Source organism: Homo sapiens, chromosome 8 (assembly GCF_000001405.40).
Source record: "Homo sapiens chromosome 8, GRCh38.p14 Primary Assembly".
Taxonomy (NCBI): domain Eukaryota; kingdom Metazoa; phylum Chordata; class Mammalia; order Primates; family Hominidae; genus Homo; species Homo sapiens.
Window position 1 is genome coordinate 120,410,314 of NC_000008.11, and position 22,855 is coordinate 120,433,168.

General features: G+C 32.9%; 1 protein-coding gene across 1 annotated transcript in view; it reads right to left on the bottom strand.

The window, feature by feature from the left end:
- The window catches only part of MRPL13 (mitochondrial ribosomal protein L13), a 49,714-nt gene that overhangs the window by 14,877 nt on the left and 11,982 nt on the right, over window positions 1-22,855 (bottom strand). Inside the window, exons 3-6 of the mRNA NM_014078.6 lie at window positions 21,717-21,810; window positions 14,993-15,053; window positions 9,539-9,625; window positions 3,678-3,799 (exon numbers count right to left, since the gene is read on the bottom strand). Of these exons, the coding sequence (NP_054797.2) occupies window positions 3,678-3,799; window positions 9,539-9,625; window positions 14,993-15,053; window positions 21,717-21,810 (364 nt within the window). The remainder of the gene's footprint in view (window positions 1-3,677; window positions 3,800-9,538; window positions 9,626-14,992; window positions 15,054-21,716; window positions 21,811-22,855) is intronic.

A 22,855-nucleotide genomic window follows, 5' to 3' on the forward strand; every position in this document is an offset into this window, starting at 1 on the left:
ACATTCCAAAGGAAAATTATATTCTTGGCTTAGCTATGTTGGGTAGAACAAAAGCATATCTTAAGCAAGGTCCTCTCCAAAAGGAGAAAAAAATTTTTTTCTAATAAAGGCAATCCTTTAATAATAAAAACCTCATGTTCCATGAATTGAACTGCATGGCATATCAAATATTTTAATTCTAATTCTAAAGTATATAATATTTAATAGAACTTTATAAAATGGCATAGTCCAATAACTAAAATAGCATAGTCCAATAATGTAGACACTAGCCATATGAAGGTAGCGTAATTTTATTCACTAACACGTAATTTTATTTACTAAAATTACATCAAATAAAAAATTCAGTTCCTTAGTCACATTAGCCACAGTGCAAGGGCTCAAGAGCCACACGTCAACAGTAGCTAATGTATTTGAAGCTCGAATAGAGAGTTACCTCCCTCCCTCCATCCCTCCCTCCTTCCTTCCTTTCTCTCTCTTTTTTTTTTGAGATGGAGTTTTGCTCTTGTCACGCAGGCTGGAGTGCAATGGTGCGATCTCGGCAACCTCCGCCTCCCGGGTTCAAGCAATTCTCCTGCCTCAGCCTCCAGAGTAGCTGGGATTACAGGTGCCCACCACCATATCCGGCTAGTTTTTTTTGTATTTTTATTAGAGATGGGGTTTCACCATGTTGGCCAGGCTGGTCTTGAACTACCAACCTTAGGTGATCCACCGCGCCAGGCTTCCCTCTCCCTCTCCTCCCTCTCCCACTCCCTCTCCCTCCCCTTCTCTCGACAAGTCTTGCTCTGTTGTTCAGGCTGGAGTGCAGTGGCATGATCATGGCTCACTGCAGCTGCAAACTCCTGGGCTCAAGAGATCCTCCTGCCTCAGACTACCAAGTAGCTGGGACTACAGGTGTGTGCTAACACACCTGGCTAATTTTTTTGTTTTTTGTTTTTGTAGAGACAGGGTCTTGCCATCTTGCCCAGGCCGGTCTTGAACTCCTGAACTCAAGAGGTACTCCTGCCTTGGCCTCCCAAAGTGCTAGGATTATAGGCATGAGCCACCATGCCTGGCTGAGAGTTGTTTTCATCATTGTAGAAAGTTCTACTCAAGAGCCTTGAAGTAAATGATCATCTATTTCTTAGATAAGCTTTTGGTTAATCCAAAAATGACTATATTTTTCCTGGTCACACACTTTTCACGTAATAAAGACTAACTGGACTTGATGTCAGCTCAAATGTGCAGGGAGAAAGAAATACAGAATGATTTATATTAAATGACTAGTACACCTATACTATCCATACGTTTCAGTAAACGTATACCTATTTTACTATTTTGAAAATACAAGTTAACATATGCGTGTGACTATTTATGAGGAAAAAATCACAACCTTAATAAAGCATAAAGGAAAACCTAGTGTCTAATGCATATTCCTGCCTCAGGGAAATCTGGAATGAAGAGAGAGGGCAGGAAAATCTATTCCCAGAGTAGTAACTAAAAAATGCATCTAGTGGCTCTAAGTTTCTCTAAAAATCTCCTTAAAAATAGCTATAGAAAAGCCCTTTCTAATTCTATTAATAAAATGAAGGCACTCAGGCACTTTCTAATTTGTTTCAAAAGAAAGCAGAAATCATTCAGCAGAATGAAAATTTTGGTCAGTACTCTGACTATAATAACACTAAATATAATTTGTGAATTATTATATTAGTGTGGTGCCAGTTTAACTGATTTAGAATACACTTTAGAATATTCATGAAATATGACTTCAAGTGTATAATATGTATTTGCACATACATGATTTAACAGCAACTTTATTATTTCTAATTTTAAAAAAAAGAGTACCACACCCCTCTTGGTCAGGAATATAAATTCATTTATGATGGTGTTTCTGTAAGAAAATCAGATACATATTTACAGAACTGTTATAGGAAGGTAACCTGTCAAAACTTCAAGGACAACTTAAAATGTTTTTAGTATATAACTTATCAAAGCTGAATATTTTCAAACTACATCAACTTAAGTACATTTACAATAAAACTCTACACTAGCAAGCATGTTAAAATGGTATAGAATTTGCAATAGCAAAAAAATTCTCCTATTAAAAACTTAGTCAACACTTCAAGTGTGCTAAGTTGCTCACTTACTCCTTCCAGCAATTCTCAGAAGTATGGAGTGGCTCTAATTTACAACTGAAGAAACTGAGTTGAGATGAAGAAACTAAGGCTCAAAATGAAAGATGACTTACTTAAGGTTATAGAGTCAGCTACTATAGAGGCAAGATTTGAACCTTGGTTTGGATTTTTCTAAAACTTAAGCTATTCATGAAAATTTCACAATTAATTTTTAGGGAAAGAGCTCATGTCTTCATTCTTTCCAAAACACTTACTGAGTGCCCATTATGCACCAAGTACTATTTCTAAGGGTTTCTAAGTATTTCTAAGATGTAAATGTTGAACCAGACAATGTCCCTGCCCCCTTGAAGCTGACATGCCAATGCAAGAAGGGGCATTCCAGCAGAGTTAGGAGCATGACCCAGCAGCTAGTCACTCAGGCTTGAATCCTTAATATACCATTTATAACTATGTGATATTAGTCAAGTTGCTTTATCTCTCTGTGCCCATATTTTCTCATTTAAAAAATAAAAATAAAAATAAAAATTGTACTGACTCACTAGATTGCTCTGAGGATTAGTAGATTAATACATGTAAAGCACACAATAAATGCTTTATTAGTGCTTGCTATTTTTATTATTGCCATGAGTGTAGAGAGACAAATAACAGACACACATATAAATGAGAGTACAGTAGATAGTGATAAATGCTGTGAAAAAAATGAAAAGTGGTCTTTGCTTCATATTTTCTAGAGATTCTTTCCTAAAGTCACTTATAAAAGCTGATAAAAGTCTTAATTAATTTATTCAATAAATACTGGCTGAGTGTCTATTTAATTTGTCCAGCACCATGCTCAGTGCTAAATAAGACAAACATGTAGCTCCCTCATGAAGTCTAGCAAGAAAGACAGATAGTAAACAGATAATCACACAAATATATAATTAGAGTAAATCAGTAAATGGAAGTGTACGATGAGAACCCATAATGAGAGCCTAACCCGGTTCAAAGATTACAGGAAGGACTGCCTGAGGAAGTTACACTTAAATGCTTCATCATCTGGATAGCCCTGGCAAAAAAGCCTAGAAACAACTAGATGGGAGAAAGAATGTTACATCTTAGCAGCTTTACGGCCTTAGGTAGAGGAAACTGTACAGAGGAGAGCAAAAAGTATTTTTTTATTTTGTTTTTCTTTTTGGACCAAGACAACAAGTATCCAAAATTAATGACTTTTCATTAGATAATATTTTTAACTTATGAAACAATGTGGAAAACTGAGAATCATTACGTTTTAGATTAATAACAATTCATATATCATTCCTAAAGACTACCATCAGCCCAAACAAAATACTTGATAATTATAGGAACCTATGAACATCCTCGCACTTATCTAGCAAGGTCTTAATGCTTAAAAATTTTTGGTTCTAATACCTACATCTAGAGTTTATTTGTAGGTAGTAGCTGCTGAGTTCCCAGGGGAGCAAAAAAATGAGTTCACTCTTCCCGCCCTCAAGGATCTTATTTAATCATATGGTTGAGGAAACAGAGGATATCAAAAGAAAAAAAAACAAGAAGAAGGGAAACACTTACGGAGTCCACAATCTTGGGAAGGCGTCTATTTCTTCTTGTGTGTACTCATCTAGACGTTTAGGTATTTTTCGTGGTTGAGGAAGCTCCTCTACTAAATTCTTAAGAATATCTTCTGGAATATACTACATTAAAAAAAAATTTAGACTTAATTTTCTTAAAATATCTTTCTTAGCAATAAATTACTAATACTTCATAAGTGTTAAAAAAATAAGCAAAAGAATGCTCGTAGAATAAGGAAAACATAAAATCTTTAAAATAAAAACCTTATAAAAATTCCCCAAAAGTACATTAGGTTAATAATACAAGTAATCCCATTATAATAAGATACCTATTTTTTAAAATGTGCTGTTTATTTCCCTCTTTTCAATTGCAAAAAGACACTGCTATGGCTCATTCTCATGCTTTCTCATCTGACAAGTATATGTACTGGGTCTACCGGGTTTAGTGCCACTACCTTTCAATCAGTGCTCCAACTGTGGCCAGAAAAAAATTTGAAAATGAAAATCTTTGAGTCATTTATTTATCTAAGAAACATTTATTGAACTTCTAAGAACCAAAAATTGTGCCAGGTGCTGGCCATATAAAGGAAAATAAAAAGATCAAGCCTTCTAAAGGCTTATAATTTTTAAAAAGTCACCTCTCAGCTTAAAATTTTTCAGGATAAAGCTCTAACTCCTTTGCTAAATTTGCTTAGCTAGACAGTGTCGTTACCACTAGTCCACCTCTCCAATGTCACTCTCCACAGACACAACCATGGTTTCTGTCTAATCAACCTCCTCAACCTTTCATGTGTTGCTCTAGACTCAAATCATGATATCTTTATTAATTGTATTCCCCTGACCAGGACCACTTTCCCCCTACTATGTATCCAATATTCAGAAAAATGAAGAGTTGGAAGATTGACCTGCCAACAGTAGACACAATGAACTGCAGTGGAGAAAAGCTGGAGACAAGAAGAGTTAAGTGGCTGTTTCAGTAATCAAGGTAAGATTTTTTAAAGTTTGAGTTTAGATACTGAAAGGCACACTAAAGAGTAAAGCACATATCTAAGACATTTTAAAAGAAGAAAGCATTGGAATTAGACAGACTAAGGAGGAATGATAAAATGAAGAGTGTGGGTAACCAAAAGAATGAACATTTATATTGTACTCATGATGCAGAAATAAGGCAGCTGGGAGAATGAACTGTATTGAGACTGGATGATAAATTGATTTTGGGAACTCTTTTTAAATAACGGTAAGATATCAGTATGGAAGTGTCTTATAGGCATTCTTATAAGGAGAGTAGATATAATTCCCTCTTCTCATTATAGTATGTGTACAGGAATTTTCGATAAAAGGATTATCACACAGTAAATTACAGCTCTCTGCAGAGCGCACTATTACAAGTGGGAATCCAATATCTGGCCAAGGACATGGCATCAAATAAGGCAGCACTTTGATCAATTCTTAAGACATGTTGTCTTAAGACATGTTGTCTTAAGAATCAGGATAAAATTTTATAACTTTAGGATCACAGAGCTCTACTGTCCTGTAAGCTTGTTCTAAAACCCAATATAGCAAAATATTTATAATATTTTAGGCAATTTAAATGAATTTTAAAAATTGTGGTTTGGATAGGCTGGGTCACTATCAACATACAGAAAACACAATAGATACTCTTGATAATGTGCTTCTTCACTGAAAAGCATTTAACAATATTTAACATCCTTTCTCCTATTGTTATCACTTTCTCAGTATATTCAAATCTGCACAATAATTACAGAGTCAGGGCAAGCAGAGGATGCCTGGACATATAAAAGATTGTTGGTGATACTTATTTTTTACTTATTGAAGGCGCCTACCTGTCAGATATTTCCAAAGATGTATAAATATTTCATACTTCTTTGGAAAGCCAGTATAAAATTCCCTAGATCAGTTGTAAAGACAATTTCAAAAAGCTGCTAAGTGCTCATTCAGCGTAGAGCATGTGGAACACAGTGGCTTCCTAGCTAATGTTTGCTGAATGGAATAGAATTTTGAATACAATGAGCCAAATTTCTTTACTATTAGAGGATTTTGCTGAATGGTTAAAATCAATGCAAAATGAGGAATCAAAGTTTTTGATTAGGTATTACACATGAAACCAGGAAGAGGGAGAAGTACCTCCTTTAATGTGCATACAGAGAAGGTAACCCATGAATGCTAACTAAATGTGTTTATGGAGATTTAAGAGTTCTCTTTGGCCGGGCACGGTGGCTCACGTCTGTAATCCCAGCACTTTGGGAGGCAGAGGCGGGTGGATCACGAGGTCAGGAGATCGAGACCATCCTGGCTAACACGGTGAAACCCCGTCTCTACTAAAAATACAAAAAATTAGCCGGGCGTGGTGGCGGGTGCCTGTAGTCCCAGCTACTTGGGAGGCTGAGGCAGGAGAATGGCGTGAACCTAGGAGGCGGAGCTTGCAGTGAGCCCAGATTGTGCCACTGCACTCCAGCCTGGGTGACAGAGCGAGACTCCGTCTCAAAATAAATAAATAAATAAATAAAAATAAAGAGTTCCCTTCACACAGAGGTGGTTAACCTAAGGGGAAATGAGGGAAAGAACCAGAGCAACAAACAGAAACAGGGGTCAAGTGATCACTTTTTTTGCAACTTTTTACTTTAGAAAAATTTAAATTTACACAAAAGTTGTGACAATATAATGAACATTAATCTAATCTTTACCTAAGTTCCCCAACTGTTAGCATGACATGTTTGCTTTCTCTTTTGGTCTGTCTATATACAAACACTTTTTGGATGAACCATTTTAGAGTAATTTGCAAAAACTTCAAACTAAATATTTCAGCATGTATCTCCTAGTCTCCCTATAGAACATTAAATTTTATGTTCAGGAAAATTAACATTGATGAAATACTTTTTATCTAATATACAGTACATATTCAAATTTCCCAAATAGGTCTAATATTGTCATATGTAACTTTTCCCAATTCAGGATCAGGTCAAGAATCACATGCATTTAGTTACTATATTATGTTGTTTACTCTGTAGTCTAGTCTCCTTTTATCGTAAGTTTCCTTGCCTTTTCTTTAATATTTCAAGAGTCCAGGCCAGTTATGTTGCAGAATTTCCTTTTATTTGGATTTATACTATTGTTGTTCCATGATTACATTCAGGTTAAGCATTACTGACAAGAGGCCATATAGTTTATGTTGAGTGTTCAGTGCTTCATAGCAGGAGGCACCTGATGTCAGTTTTTCCCACAGTGACCAAAGATTTGATCTCATGGTTACGGTGGTGTCCACCAGATTTTATTAATGTAAAAGCAATGGGAAGATTCCCATCACAAATAATTGAAAAGATGCCCTTTACAAATAATAAATACTCTGTATTGTGGTATTTGGAAACTATAAATATCCTGCTCCACAATAACCTTTTACCCAGTGGCCACAGAATACGCTGGTAATGATGGCTTTTCTAGTTCAGTATTCCTTCCATATTTTTTATATGATATTCTTCTATAGAGGGCTTTTCTATCCTCAGAAAGAAGGGACATCATAATAAATTAAAAATAATTTTTGGATGGTCACTGTAGCCGTATAGATTTTTGTTTTCTTATTCAGTGTAATCCCTTATTATTACCATGTGTTTTGAGGCTCACACAGTCCTGTATTTGGTCAGTGGGCACCACCTAAAGCTGGCTCCATGTTCCCTTGATATTGCTCCATTAGTTTTTGAGTATTGCCTTATTTTCTGTTACTTTCTATTATTTCACTATTATAAATCATGCAGAAATAATAGTCTTTTGCATGTGTATACCCTATAATAATTTAGTTCTCTCTCTGCTCCAGATCGTGAATCAATCAGTTCTCCAAGAACTAAGTTCCTTTTGGTAGGGAATAGCATGTGGAAAACAAGATTTGGGAACTAGTTGTGCTCACTTCTACTGTTGCTGTCATTTTATTTTTCTAATATATAAAATTTTAGCATGATTAACATAAAAAATAAATTTAAAGATAGTCTCTGAAAAAAATCTCATTCTTTCCCTATTCCTTTGTACCCATAGTCTAGTAGTTGCAACTTTCTCTTCCCGTGCTTTACGCAAAAAGTAGCGCACATAAATATATGCTTGTGTGTATGTAAACATACATAGGTATATATGCATACAAATGTAGTATGCCATCTACATTCTTTTTTACCTTGTTTGTTTTCACTTAACAATATATCCTGGAAAGTACAACTTACCAAGTCACAAAAATATCTGTCATTCTTTTTTTAAAAAATTGCACAATACTCGATAATTTATTTCCTATGAATAAGCATTATTTGTTTTTCTTATTGTACCATTATTGAATACAGTGAAAATAATCATGTGCATGTGTATCTTGAAGGTGTATTTTTATAAATGAGATTGCTGGATCAAGGATCAATCTCCTGATGTATGTATTTTCATTATATGTTACCTAATTAATTCCCAGGATTCCAGATGAGATGCACCATGTTGTGCTACCACCAACAATGTATAAGTGTGCCTGTTTCCCCCATCGGCTTGATAAAATGTACTGTCAAGCTTCTGAATACTTACCAATTCACTTTTGGGAACTAGGCTCATTTATTTTATAGTCTGAAATGAAATAATTTCCTATTTAACGGAACTATCGTGAATACTTAAAATATCTACACTCAAACGTATCTTGTAAATGAAATAAATATTATTTTTGTGTCTTTTAGAAATTATGGTTTCTAAAGAAAGTGACAATACAATCAGAAATAGGAGTTCTTAAATTCTTGCAATTTCATCATGAAGTGATCCTTGGATGATGATACTGCTCCCATACATGCTACCTTAGAGGTAAAGTGAATAGTGGGAAATTATTCTACTTATTCACTTATAGCGAAGACAATAAATCAATCATTTTGATAAAGCATGAATAACTTACTCATTATTAATAACTATTCATGTATTGTTTAAAGCTTAAACAGTAAGAGCACATAAATAGCTTGAAAAATCGTTATAACTTGATATTTTGGAATAAATTTCTACAGTATTCCTTCAGAAGGAACAAGAAGGACAATTATAACCATGGTAATGATAGCATCTAGCACTTATTGTGCCAGTTTCTGTTCTAAGCAATCTACAAGTGTATTTTATTTAATCCTTACAACAATCTTGTAAAATAGATACTATTATTATGTCAACTTCACAGATTAGAAAACAGAGATAAGTAACGAGCCCAAGTCCATGCAGTCAGTAAATAATGGGGCACAGATTCAAAGCCAGGCAGTCTGACTTGATAAAATATTATTTTATTATAGAAGCTTTAATATTTCATTACATCATATTAAGGAGAAAAGTTAAGTACTTAAAACAATATAATACTAATAAATAAAAATGTTTACACTCTTTTCCAAGTAATTTTTAGCTGAATCAACTATGAGTATGAACAAGTATTCTAAAGTTAAATCATGGGAAACAATAGCAACCAAAGTTAAGCTATTTATCCATGATTCACAGAAGTTTTGCTACTGGTCACATAAAAAGTGAACTAAATTAACACTTTTTCATAGTGAATGAAATTATCAACAAGTACCTCAATTTAACAGGGTTTCTGATCATAGCTCCTTGTTCAAAAGCAAGCAGTGATTAAAATTTTTTTTAAAAACTTACTTTTAATTTTTAGTCCAATGATGGTTCATTTTACATTTTAAAATATTAATAGAATTATCATTTTTTATACATACATATTCATTTAAAAATACAAAAATATTTCAGAAGTTGACATAAAATTTTTGAAAATAAGTCTGTGGCATTTATTTAAAAAGAAAATGAAACATTTAATTGAAAATTTTGGAAAAGCATTGTTACCAATGACCACTGACTTACCTCATCTGGAAAAAGATGCAACCTTTCCATCATTGTTCTTCTGTGAAGGTTTTTTGGCAGCATGCCATAAATAGCTAGTTTTACAATCTGAAAGATATACATAGGACACAATAAGAAAATTGTGACTTGCGATAGTAAGAAAGCAAACATAATTAGAGATGATGATGAAAATGAGGGGTTTAGATTCAACACGAATATAGGAAAGAAATAGACCTAAGTGGATATGTGGAAGCAACAGAAAAGAAACTTTTATTACTTTGTACATTACTATTTTCTTTTGGCTCCATTTATTGTTTATTTAGAAAAAGAAAAAAGATTAAAAGTAACCCGTATATGTGCCAATTTTAGATAGAATAATTATCATTTGCACTCATATTTCAATATAATTTGATGTGTGTTAAAGCTAAACCCACTAAAACAATACATGTTAGAATAGGGTTACTTTGTTAAGAGGCCTTCCTCTTTTATTCTCTCATCAAATCAGACCACAAAGCCTCATTACATGCAAAAGCTAATGGGTTACCATATACATTTTCCATCTATTTTCTATTAGTGTTAAGACTTTATGTTTTTGAGGTCATTTAATGTATGTAAATATATATAAACATATATATAAACATATATAAATATATATAAAATATATATAAATATATATATATTTATGTTGTTAAAATTAAAAGCAATTAAAAATTTAGTTCCTTAGTCATGAAAGCCACATTTCAAGTGGTCGGTTGACATGTAGCTAGTGGCTACCATGTTTGACAGTGCAGACACAGAACATTTCCATCACGGCAAAAATTTCTACTAGACAGCACTGATTTAGTTATTAGCACTGAAATTGTTCAATGTTTTAAAAGTTGTAAATTGAAACTGACAATGTTAAGACTATCTTTTCTGGATAAGCAAGTAATTATATCCTCTGAATATTATCATAAAGGCATTTTATTGTATTAATAGTGTTACACGGCATTTGATTTTCATGTTTCTAAAAAATTTAGTTGTATTTATTTGAATTACTAAGTTGGTATTTTAAAAATCTGCCCTATTAGAAAATGCAAACTCCACACTCAAATTTAAAAAGGCTAGAAAATGTGAAAAGATTATAAGCTAACAGGGAAGAAAAAAGACAGACATACAAATGTACGTAAACAAAGGTGAAACAACATGTACATGCAAAAAAGTAATTCTAGCTGTACAGACATTAAGTATAAGTTTTAAGAAATTCAGAAAGTAAAAAAAATAGAATAAGATAAAGTTAGTAAATATCAAAGACCTTCCTCATATAATCTATATCCCAGGGTACGTGCCATTTGTGCCATAGAAGTAACTTATTATTTATAGGAAGGGGAAAAATCAAATAGAGGAACCATGTTAGAAGAAAATATAAGGACATAGAACCTCTTAAAGAAGCTAAAACATACAACAGAGAGAAAAAGAACATAAGGAAAGGGCTAAATCGATATATTTATTTGAAATTAGAATAATCTACATCATTATGAAAAATTTTAAATATTTAACAAACTATTACCTATTTAACTATTAAATATTAATTAAGATATTTCACAAATAGTATTCCAATACTGTACTAATAATCAGAAAGCTGCATTGTGAAACAAATTCTCCGATAGGCCACACACAGTAAGAACTGATAAGCAAATTATGTCTACTGGCAGAGGCCTACTATTCCAGACAAAAACTTAGGATTTGAATTAAAAGTAAATAATAAATCTCTTCCTTGACGAGCCATTCTTTTTCAAAACATAGTAAAAATTAAGACTTAAAAAATTAAAATCCTTTAATGAGGTAATAATCCAAATGGATTTAACTCTGAAATATTTCCTAAGCCTTCCTCAAACATTTTACAATCCATTTCAATTATTGCTCATAAACAATAATTTGAAACAATTTCTACAAAAGTTACCTAAGACCAAATTTTTAACATGAAAGTTATACTATACTGCCTCCTAGTGTACAGTTAACATAAAATAGAAACTTTCATTTTAACATTTAAAATATTTATGAAGTATTAAAAGTATAATTTATTGTTAACAGCTGTGATATATATTATCAGGAGCCTTATAACTTTTAATGCTATTATATACAAAGCATATTAATATTCAAAATATAATATTTTGACCTGTAAGGCTTAAAAACACACTAGTTATGAAAAAAAAATTAAATATTTCCTAAGAAGCAAATTCTGAGCACAGTTTTATAAAACAGATATAAACAATACAAAATAAATAGTAAATCATGAAACTTTTAAATGGTATGTCAGGTCTTATTATAATAAAATATCCTTCCCCCCAACCTTACCAAGAAAATTTTAGGCAGTATTATACCAAACAAATGGTTGTATCCTGACAATAGATATTTATTTTTATTATTTTAGGGAAACAAAAAATGATATTTTTAGGTCTAGCACTTTGCTAATTTATTAATGTATTGCAGCAAAAAGATAAAATAGTCTCTAATAGGAAAAACATGCTATCTAACCTATGAGTAAAGTTGAAAGTTTAGGTCTATCAATAGCTAAAAGAAAAAACAACAGGAGACTTTGCCTTTAGCAATATTGGTGACTAATGTATGAATTAGAACTTCTCCCAGTATAATACACAAAGAAATAAACATTAATGAACCATATAAATTTTCCATCTGTTTTCTATTAGTGTTAAGACTTTATGTTTCTGAGAGGTCATTTAATATATGGAAATATATATATAAACATATATATAAACATATATAAACATATAAATATATATAAACTTATATATTTATGTAGTTAAAATTAAAAGTAATTAAAAATTTAGTTAATTCGTGAAGTTAATTAATATTGTTTATAAAAATATTTTTTAAAGTATGAAACAAAGCTGACCTCACAAGGCTTTGAGGCCCCAAATTCATCCTTCTTGTGGGGATCAAAATCCTGTAAGTCTAAAGTTCAGCTCAAAAAACTTAGGTTGTTATAGCCCAATTCACTTAGCCATAAGCTAAGTGAATCTTTTTTGAGGAAAGTCATTTTTAACACAGGTCTTAAAGAATTCCTGGAGATGAAGTTTCAAGGTACATGAGCCTACCAAGTAAGTACACTGAGCAGATATTATAAATTGCGGACCTACAAAGGCCACAAATATTAGAATCAGATCTAAACTCTAAGAATTATGTTTAGTATGCATAAAGAAATATAAGAGTGAACCAAAACATGATAAACAGAAGACTATTGAAACTGATCAACAAATTTGTAAAAGAACCAAATAATAAAACTTTAAGAAAGGGAAAAATGATAATTGAAATTAGCACCTCAGAAAAAGGTCAATCAGATTAGACACAGGTGAAAAGATACAGAACTGGAACACAGATCTGAAGAAATTACTGAGAATGCCCCACAGAGACAGTGAGACATGAAGTATGAAAGAGAGGTACTGAATCATGTACAATCAAATGCAACTGTCTACTCTTATTATAACCAGATTTCCAAAGGGAAGAAACAGAGAATAAAGAGACCCAATATTAGAAGATTTAAGAGCTAACACATTTCCAGAACTGAAGACACCAGTACTCAAACCAAATAAATAAGACTGTAGTAGGAAGATATGAAAACCAAAGACAATGAAAAGGTCTTAAAGGTATCCAGAAAAAAAAGACAAGAGTACACATAAAGAAACAATTAAATCGACATCTGATTCATAAAAGCAATAATACAAGCTAAATTCCAATTGAATAATAGCTTCAAAAAGCTGAGGGAAAAATAATGGAATAATTGTTATCTTAGAATTCCACATATAGCAAAACTATCTTTCAAGAATGAAAGCACAAAATAAAGAAAACAGTTGTAGACAAAAAAGGTGAGTTCAGTATTAAGAGAATGTGGCTTGAAGAATGCCAGCAAGAAGTACTTCAAGGAAAAGGAAATTGATACCAGAAGGCAGGCTGAGTCACAAGAAGGGATTGTAAGAAAAGAAAATTTAAAAAAATCAGTAACAGAATAAAACAATAACAAGAATGTTCAATTGGAAGAGTTTTTTTAAAAACCTGAACAAAGAAAGCTTGTAGATTGGGAGGGAGGGTGGTAGTTAAAAATCTTCTAAGGGCTTTCATTGATTTGGAAGTAAGGTAAAAATACTGATGAACCTTAGAGCTATAATAAATCAATTCAACCAATCCAAAAGGCAGCAAGAAAGGAGAGAAAAAAAAATCTAGTTACATGATGTTTACAATAAAAACATCTATAACAGAATAACTTAGTAAAGTGTAAAAAATGAAATATATGAGGCAAACACTAATCAAAAGTCAGCTAATGTAGCTATATTAATGTCAGAACAAATAGACCTCAAGGTAAAAAGCATTATTGGAGATTAAGAGGATCAGTACATATTGACCCTGATCAATTGTTTAGAAAGATTCCAATTCCAATCTTAAATTCATCTAACACTAAACCTTCAAAATATATAAGGCAAAAATTGACAGGAAAAAAAATAAAAAATAAATAAAACATAAACAAGCAGGGTGCCTATAGTCCCAGGTGTTTGGGAGGCCAAAATAGGAAGATTGCTTGAGCCCAGGAATTTGAGTCCAGCCTGGGCAACATAGCAAGATCCTGTCTTTAAAAACATAAATTAAAAACAGAGTAAAGTCTGAGTGTGGTGGCTCTCGCCTGTAATCCCAGCACTTGGGAGGCCGAGGTGGGAGGATGGCTTGAGCCCATGAGTTTGAGACAAGCTTGGGCAACATAGGAAAACCTGGTCTCCACAAAAAATAAAAAGTTTTAGCAGGGTGTGGTGGTGTGTACCTGTAGTCCCAGCTGCTTGAGAGGCTGAGGTGGGAAGATCCCTTGAGCCCAGGAGTTTGAGGCTGCAGTGAGCTATCATTGTGCCACTGTGCTCTAGCCTGGGTGACAGAGTGAGACCTTGTCTCCAGAAAAATAAATAAATAAATAATAAAATAAAATGAAAGTAGTTTTGTTTTTAAGAACTTTACTATTTTTTCCAGAATAAAATGGACAGACCTGTAAGAAGAAATTAATCTACAATTGAGATGTTAATAAACAAAAATAAACTCAGATAATACTCGAGTTAACAAAAAAGTTAGAATATAAGAAGAACACACTTAGCATGTTTGAAAATATATGTACACACATACATACATATATCTCTCTCCTTTCCAAGACATTTCAGCAAACTCATCATATACTAGGTGATTATGCAGGTATCAAAAATTAAAAAGAAAAACATCAGAATTCTTCGACTAAATGCAAAACATAATACATAGCAATTAGAAAATACATAGAGTTGAATATTAAAAATAATACTTATCAAAACGTGTGTGATACAGCTAAAGTGAAGAATTTATATCCTTGAATGCTAACTATATTAAAATAATGAGAAGGGAGACTGACAAAACAGTATCTGAATTGGTCTTTCCAAAGATGATTAATAAAAAATACAAGAAACTTACTGCCACTGGATCCCTCAGGTGAAGCTGAGCAGCTGTTACTTGTCTAAATCCACCTGGGTAGCTGTTAAAAGGAGAAAAGACATTAAAACTGGGCATAGGCTGATACTGTATTCTTAAACTGATCATTCTTTTATAAGAAAACTATTTTAATAAATTGTTTCTCGAAACTGCTTTTCATTAGTGTTTTCAAAATTAAGTAGTAATCTACGCTTTTTGAAATGCTATTCTCTTAAATGGTCAACTACCATTATATCATAAAAAGTTCTACTTCTTGGAAAAATTTATTGGCATAAGTATATTTCTATCTGAATTGTAAGTTATTAATTCACTCACTCATTATGGGGTATTTATTACTACTTGATTTAACAAAGAAATAGAAACAAGCCAGACTATTTCATGTTCCTTACCAAATTAGATAAACCGTATAAACTACGGGTTAGGTCTGGGGAAAATGTTGGTAGTCCACTTGGTTCTGAATTAAGTTCATACTCTAGACAGCCAGTAATCATGTTTCTTCTTAGCAGTTTGTAAAGGTCTCTAAGTGCTACATATTGGCTCTAAGTAATATAATATTTCATTGTGTTCAGATCGATTATTCTTTATAAAATGAAAAAAAGTGGCAATTACAAAATATACATTGAATAGTACTGGAGGCAGCTTAGCTTCCAGATACCCTAGATGCAGGTATGGAATCTAGGTTTTGTCAGTGACTCCCAGTGTAATATCAGGCAACTCATTTTACCTCTCTGCATATAATTTTACTCATATGAATAAATAATGCTATCTACCTCAAAAGATTTCTGGGTCAAATGAAAAAATATTTGTGAAAGGGATTGGGAAATTTAAAACAAAAATAATACATATATAGATGTAAGGTTCTATTTTCCTAAACAGATGAAGTCCAAACGATTTTCAAGAAAGGGGGAAGAAATTGGAAAGTCAGTGTGGAATCTGCAAAAAACCTTAAGATTACCTAAAGGTGATTTTTTCCATATGTTCCCTTCAATAAAATTTGAAAATATTTTAAAGATGATTTAAGAAAACACATTTTAGGAATAAAACTTGTCAAAGTTAGAAGTTTGCTGAGAAAGATGGGTAGTTTTAAAATTGATATTCTCTTTTTTCATGGAATTTCAGTTTTAGAAAAAGAAATGCCTGTCTAGACTTCTATTCCTGCATTCTTTCTCTCCATGGAAAAAAATATTTTACAATTTCTATGCTGAAAGATGATCTTTCTAGTTTGAAAATTGAGATGGCAAATTCTAAAACATACCATTTACAATATATTTCAGAAGTCTGGACTTTATTCTGACGTATTTGGAAAGCTAATGTAAAATTTTGAGTGGAGGATGACTTGAGTAATGCAACACTCAATTGATTTTTACTAGTAAGAAAATAACTCATTCTTTCCTCCAATATGGGATGGAGTAAGAGAACATTTGTTTTAAATGCTAGCCAAGGGTTTTTCATTGAAATTAATTCAATAAACACTTAAATGTGTATCATGCTGGAACTGGGGACACACAGATAAATATGACAAAATCCTGTCCTATTTAAAATTAAACAATTCTGTTGATACAACTAGTTGTTAAGTTGTATCTCTAACTCATGCCAATGTATTTTAGATGACTAAAGACTTAGATGTGAAAGTTCAAGGTGCACACACACCCAATTCAACCAACCCCTAAAAAATTAGAAGTAAATGTTTATGAAAATCTGAACAAGAAAGAATTTCTGAGACTGGAAAACAGAAGAAATTACAAAGGAAAAGGCATGTAATAATATAAAATTAAATAACTACAGTAAATGACATAAAAATTTTGTTAAAAGTAAAAAACAAAAGTGGATTAATAATCTTAATAGATAAAACGTCCATAGAAAGTGATAAAGTAACACTGAAACTTCATTATTAAGTAAATGTAAATATTCAGCTGCATATCAAAAGACAACAGCCTTATTTTTAAAGATAATACTGTGCCTGCACAGATTTGGGATAACAAACATTTGTATGCTCTTCTATGGATTAGAAAACTCATGATTGAAAATACCTATCAAAAGACCTATAAATGATCATTCCTTTGATATCAAAACACATTACACTTCCAGGGATTTATTTTAAATAATCCTACATATATGAAAAAAATCAATGGACAAAGACATCACAGGATACAAAATCAATGTGCAAAAATCACTAGCAAAAAGTCACTAACATTCCTAGACACCAGCAACAGTCAAGCGGAGAGTCAAATCAGGAATGTACTCCCATTCACAACTGCCACAAAAAGAATAAAATACTTAGGAATACAGCTAATTAGGGAGGTGAAAGATCTCTATAATGAGAACTACAAACTACTGCCCAAAGAAACCAGAGATGAAGGCTGGGTATGATGGCTCATGCCTGTAATCCCAGTACTGTGGAAGGCTGAGGTGTGAGGACTTCTTGAGCCCACAAGTTCAAGACCAGCCTGGGCAACACAGTGAGCCCCCATCTCAAAAGAAAAAAAACTTTAATAATAAAAAGCAATCAGAGATGACACAGACAAACGGAAAAACACTCCATGCTCATGGATAGGAAGAATCAGTATTGTTAAAATGGCCATACTGCCCAAAGCAATTTATAGATTCAATGCTATTCCTATTAAACTACCACTGAGACTCTTCACAGAACTAGAAAAAAATATTTCAAAATTCATATGAAACCAAAAAAGAGCCTGAATAGCCAAGGCGATCCTAAACAAAAAGAACAAAGCTGGAGGCATCACGCTACCCAGCTTCAAACTATACTACAGGGCTACAGTAACCAAAACAGCATGGTACTGATAAAAAAAAAAAAAAAAAAAAACCAGACACATACACCAGTGGAAAAAAACCCAGAAATAAGACCACACACCTACAACTATTTGATCTTTGACAAACCTGGCCAAAAAAGCAATGGAGAAAGGATTCCCTGTTCAATAAATGGTGCTGGGAGAACTGGCTAGCCATATGCAGAAGATTGAAACTGGACCCCTTCCTTATACCACATACAAAAATTAACTCAGGATGGATTCCAGACTTAACTGTAAAACCCAAAACTATAAAAACCCTGGAAGACAACCTAGGCAATATCATTAAGAACACAGGCATGGGCAAAGATTTCATGACAAAGATGCAAACTGCAATTGCAACAAAAGCATAAATTGACAGATGGGATGTAATTAAACTAAAGAGCTTCTGCACAACAAAAGAAACTAACAGAATAAACAGACACCTACAGAATGGGAGAAAATTTTTGCAAACTATGCATCTGACAAAGGTCTAATATCCAGCATCATAAGGAACTTAAATTTACAAGAAGAAAAAACAAACCCCATTAAAAAGTGGGCAAAGGACAGGAACATACCCTTTCCAAAAGAAGACGTACATATGGCCAACAATCATGAAAAAAAGCTCAAAATCACTGATCATTAGAGAAATGCAAATCAAAACCACAATGAGATGCCATCTCACACCAGTGAGAATGGCTACTATTAAAAAGTCAAAAAATAACAGATGCTGGCAAGGCTGTAGAGAAAAAGGAATGCTTTTACACTGTTGGTGGGAATTTTACACTGTTGGTGGGAGTGTTCAACCACTGTGGAAGACAGTGTGGCGATTCCTCAAAGTCCTACAGACAGAAATACCATTTGACCCAGCAATCCCATTCCTAGGTACATACCCTAAGAAATATAAATTGTTCTATTATGAAGACACATCCACATGTGTGTTCACTGCAGCACTATTCATTATAGTAAAGACATGGAATTAACCTACATGCCCATCAAAGGTAGATTGGATAAAGAAAATGTAGTACATATATACCATGAAATACTACATAGCCATAAAAAAAAGAACAAGATCATGTCCTTTGCAGCAACATGGATGCAGCTGGAGGCTATTATTCTAAGCAAACTAACACAAGAACAGAAAACCAAATACTGCATATTCTCACTTATAAGTGGAAGCTCAATGATGAAAACACAAGTACACATAGAGGGGAACAACACACACTGAGGCCTATTGGAGGGTGGAGGGTGGGAGTAGAGAGAGGAAAATAACTAATGGGTACTGGGCTTAATACCTGGGTGATGAAATAACCTGTACAACAAACCCCCATGATACAAGTTTACTTATGTAACAAACCTGCACATGTAACTGAACTTAAAAGTTAAAAAAAAAAAACAAAAAACAAGAATTGAAAAAAAAGATGTTTATCAGCCCCTTATAAAAGCCAAAATTTTCATTTCAAAAAACAGAACAATGATCAAGTATCGTAAATCATTTTGTGCACTACTACTTAGTAACCAAAAATAATACTTACAAAAAGGTTCTCTGAGAATTTTCTATTAAGTGAAAAAGGATATAAACTTGTATATACAGTTATCCCTCTCCATCTGTGGAGGACTAGTTCCAGGACCTCCTGAGCATACCAAATTCCAGGGATGTTCATATCCCTGATATAAAATGGCATAGTAATTGCATATAACCTACACACATCCTCTTGTATACTTCAAATCATCTCTAGATTACTTATAATACCCAATATAATGTAAATGCTATGTAAATAGTTGTTATACTATATTGTTTAGGGAATAATGACAAGAAAAACGTCTGTACATGTTCAGTATTGACACAATTAAATAGAAAAAAATTACACGCCGGGTGCAGTGGCTCACGCCTGTAATCACAGCACTTTGGGAGGCCAAGGCAGGCAGATCACCTGATGTCAGGAGTTCGAGACCAGTCTGGCCAACATGGAGAAACCCTGTCCCTACTAAAAATACAAAAATTAGCTGGGCATGGTGGTGCACACCTGTAGTCCCAGCTACTCAGGAGGCTGAGGCAGGAGAATTGCTTGAACCTGGGAGGCGGAGGTTGCAGTGAGCCAAGATCGTACCACTGCACTCCAGCCAGGATGACAGAGCAAGACTTCATCTCAAAAAACAAAACAAAATGAAAATTTTACATTTCCACAATGTGGAATCCATAGATATGGAGGGCTGACTGTATATTAAAATGGTAAGTCATGGGATCAGGAGTGAATTTTAATTCCCTCTTTAAACTTCTCTATATTTTCTAAAATTAGTATGTCCTAAAAATTTTACAACTAGCAAGCTAAATTTTGAATATGTAATTGTAATACAGTGTTATGAGCATAATAAAGTAGTATGTCCAAAGTGTAAGTGAAGAGTCAACAGAAACAAAAAGCAATCAACTCTTTGAGCGATGAGGAAATAGCAAAGGTATCCCAGAAACTGTGACATCTGAGTCAATTTTTAATGGATAAATAGGAGAATTCCTCACTGTCAGGGGAACAACACATGCAAAGGCAGAAAGGAATGAAATAGCAATATGTTGTCTAAGAAGAACTATGAAGCAGCAGTGGGAACTGGTTTCCAATGACTTGTAAAGGAGTTTGAATTTTCACCTATCAGTGAGAAAGCACTACTGACAGGGACACTACCAGCTGACGTACACATTATGGTAGCTGTTCACTACTGGCTGTGCTGTCATTTTCTTTCATTTGCAGTAATACTACATATTATTGCTATAGTAATTACCATAGCATTTTGTGTCAATACTTCCCTTTATGCTTTTATCACATTATGTTATTCTGATTTTTAATATTTCTTTCCCAATTACCTCTCAATTTTGTAGAACTTGGTTTATACATAGAGATCTGCCAATAGCTGAAATTACTAAAGACGGATGTAAATTCAGTTTTGTTAAATTATATAAAGATTTCATGAATGTATTTTAAGGGGAGGAATGGGCAAAGGCTGGCTCAAGGAAGCAAAACAGTTGTTCCAAATATTTAAGATGCACTTGGGGAAAGAGATGAAAAGTAACAAATGGGAACATCAAAGGCGAAGATGCAGTTGGAAATAAAATAGTGATTTTGATCAAGAATAAAAGATAACATTTCTAACCATAACTTGAGTAACAGTATAGAAAGTACACTTAATTAAATGTGCACATGACCTGAAGCTATGGGTTAACTAATACATGAGATGATAAAATCAGGATCTTAAAAGGCTGGAGATAAAATTTAACATGGAGTAAACTTAAGGTCTTGCAATTGAATTAAATTACAACTAAAGCACACAGGAAGGAGAAGACATGATTCAACAGGAATATACCTGAAAAAGACTTAGGAGTTTTAGCTGACAGTAAACTCAAATACAGAAATACTATGGCCTTGAAGAAAAGTTCTATTGCAACAGAAGATTGCCTAACTGAAAAATGGAGGAGAGTCACGTTGTATTTGGAAACCAGCAGAACACACCCAGGTGAGTGTATTTACTTAAGAGAGATACTGACAAACAAGATTTTATCTAGAGAAGAGTGACCATTCCTTAAACATCTTGTTAACTTTCAGATGGTTTGGGATGGTTCTGAAAACAGCAGTAAGATGAATTACAGGAAGCAGAAATACAAAGTAAAAGAGTGACTAAAACATGAGAATAATCTTGTCCACAGGTTATATGAAACACTTGTAGGATAAACAAATACTGTCAGGTAATAGCTATATTTGGTATAGTTGTGTGGTTTTTAAAAATTGAGTAAATTATATACATGGCATGAGTAAAATTAGTAATAAATGCTGATTTTTAAAAATATCTTTTTTCTTTTAAGTAAGAACAACTGTATTCTTAAAGTAATATATTTTAACTACCTAATTTCCCTGACAACAGCATTATCTTACCCAGTATGCGAAGAGTATACTTTTTGTTCCCATTTGTTTCCAGAAAATGCAATGTGTCTTGTGTTCATTATAACAACATGATCCCCACAGTCACCTACATTTTAAAAAGAAACAAGATTTTGTAAGAAAAATAAAAACCTTAAGAAAAAGTGGCCTTGGTTATTTATAAAGCTTATCAAAGTTCAAACAACATATTAAAAAATAAAAAGCAAGTTACAGTGCAACATCAAAAATCCTTGAATAGATTTCTGTTACTTTTTAATATAACATCTAAGTATAGAAAGAGTTGGCTGGCCATTTGGAAAATCTCAACACTGCAAAGTAAAAGAAATTTAATAAGGTTGCCAATAACAACAATACATCTTTTAAAGGCAAATTACTGTTATTCTTGTGACTTTTCCCATTAATAATTACACTTCAGTAAAAATGTTTGTATTAAGTGCCTTTAAATGTCTGATACAAAATTTCCCTGAAAAATAGCCAAGAAAATGAAAACAGTATGTATATAGATATAAAAAAGTATGTTTTACCTACAGGTAAATTGAAAACATATGTAAAACATTACAATTATTATTTTTTGCAAATTTAGGGAACAGACTGCTTTGATCTTATTAACTACCATGGAAAGGTTTCTTTCCAACCATGTTTATAGTAAATTTAAACTGCTACTCTCAACTATGACTACGTAAATATATTTGACAGGACAGATGACCTGAAAATCAAAATATGTGTATCTGCTTCATTTTCTATCCCTAAGTTTGGCTGTTCATCTAAAAACAAACTAAAAAGTTAACATGTACATTTTCAAATAACTGACTATACATAACAAAATCAAGTAATTAGAAACATTTATAAAATACCTATTTTACTAATAGAAAAAACAAACCAAGATATTCTAGAAGCTCAAGAAAAAAGTACTAAAAATAAGAAATACAAGTACAATATATATGAAAACTAAAGATTATAAGATTCTATGCAGAGCCCTAAATTTGAGTGGCAGAATTTTCACAGACGTTCATAGTCTATATAGGATAAGAATAAAGAAAAGAAGATAATGCAAGTGGGTTTTCATCACTAGAGTGAAAGGAAATTCAGAGGTATGAATGAAAGACCTGGGAAGCTTGCTGTTATTAGATGGA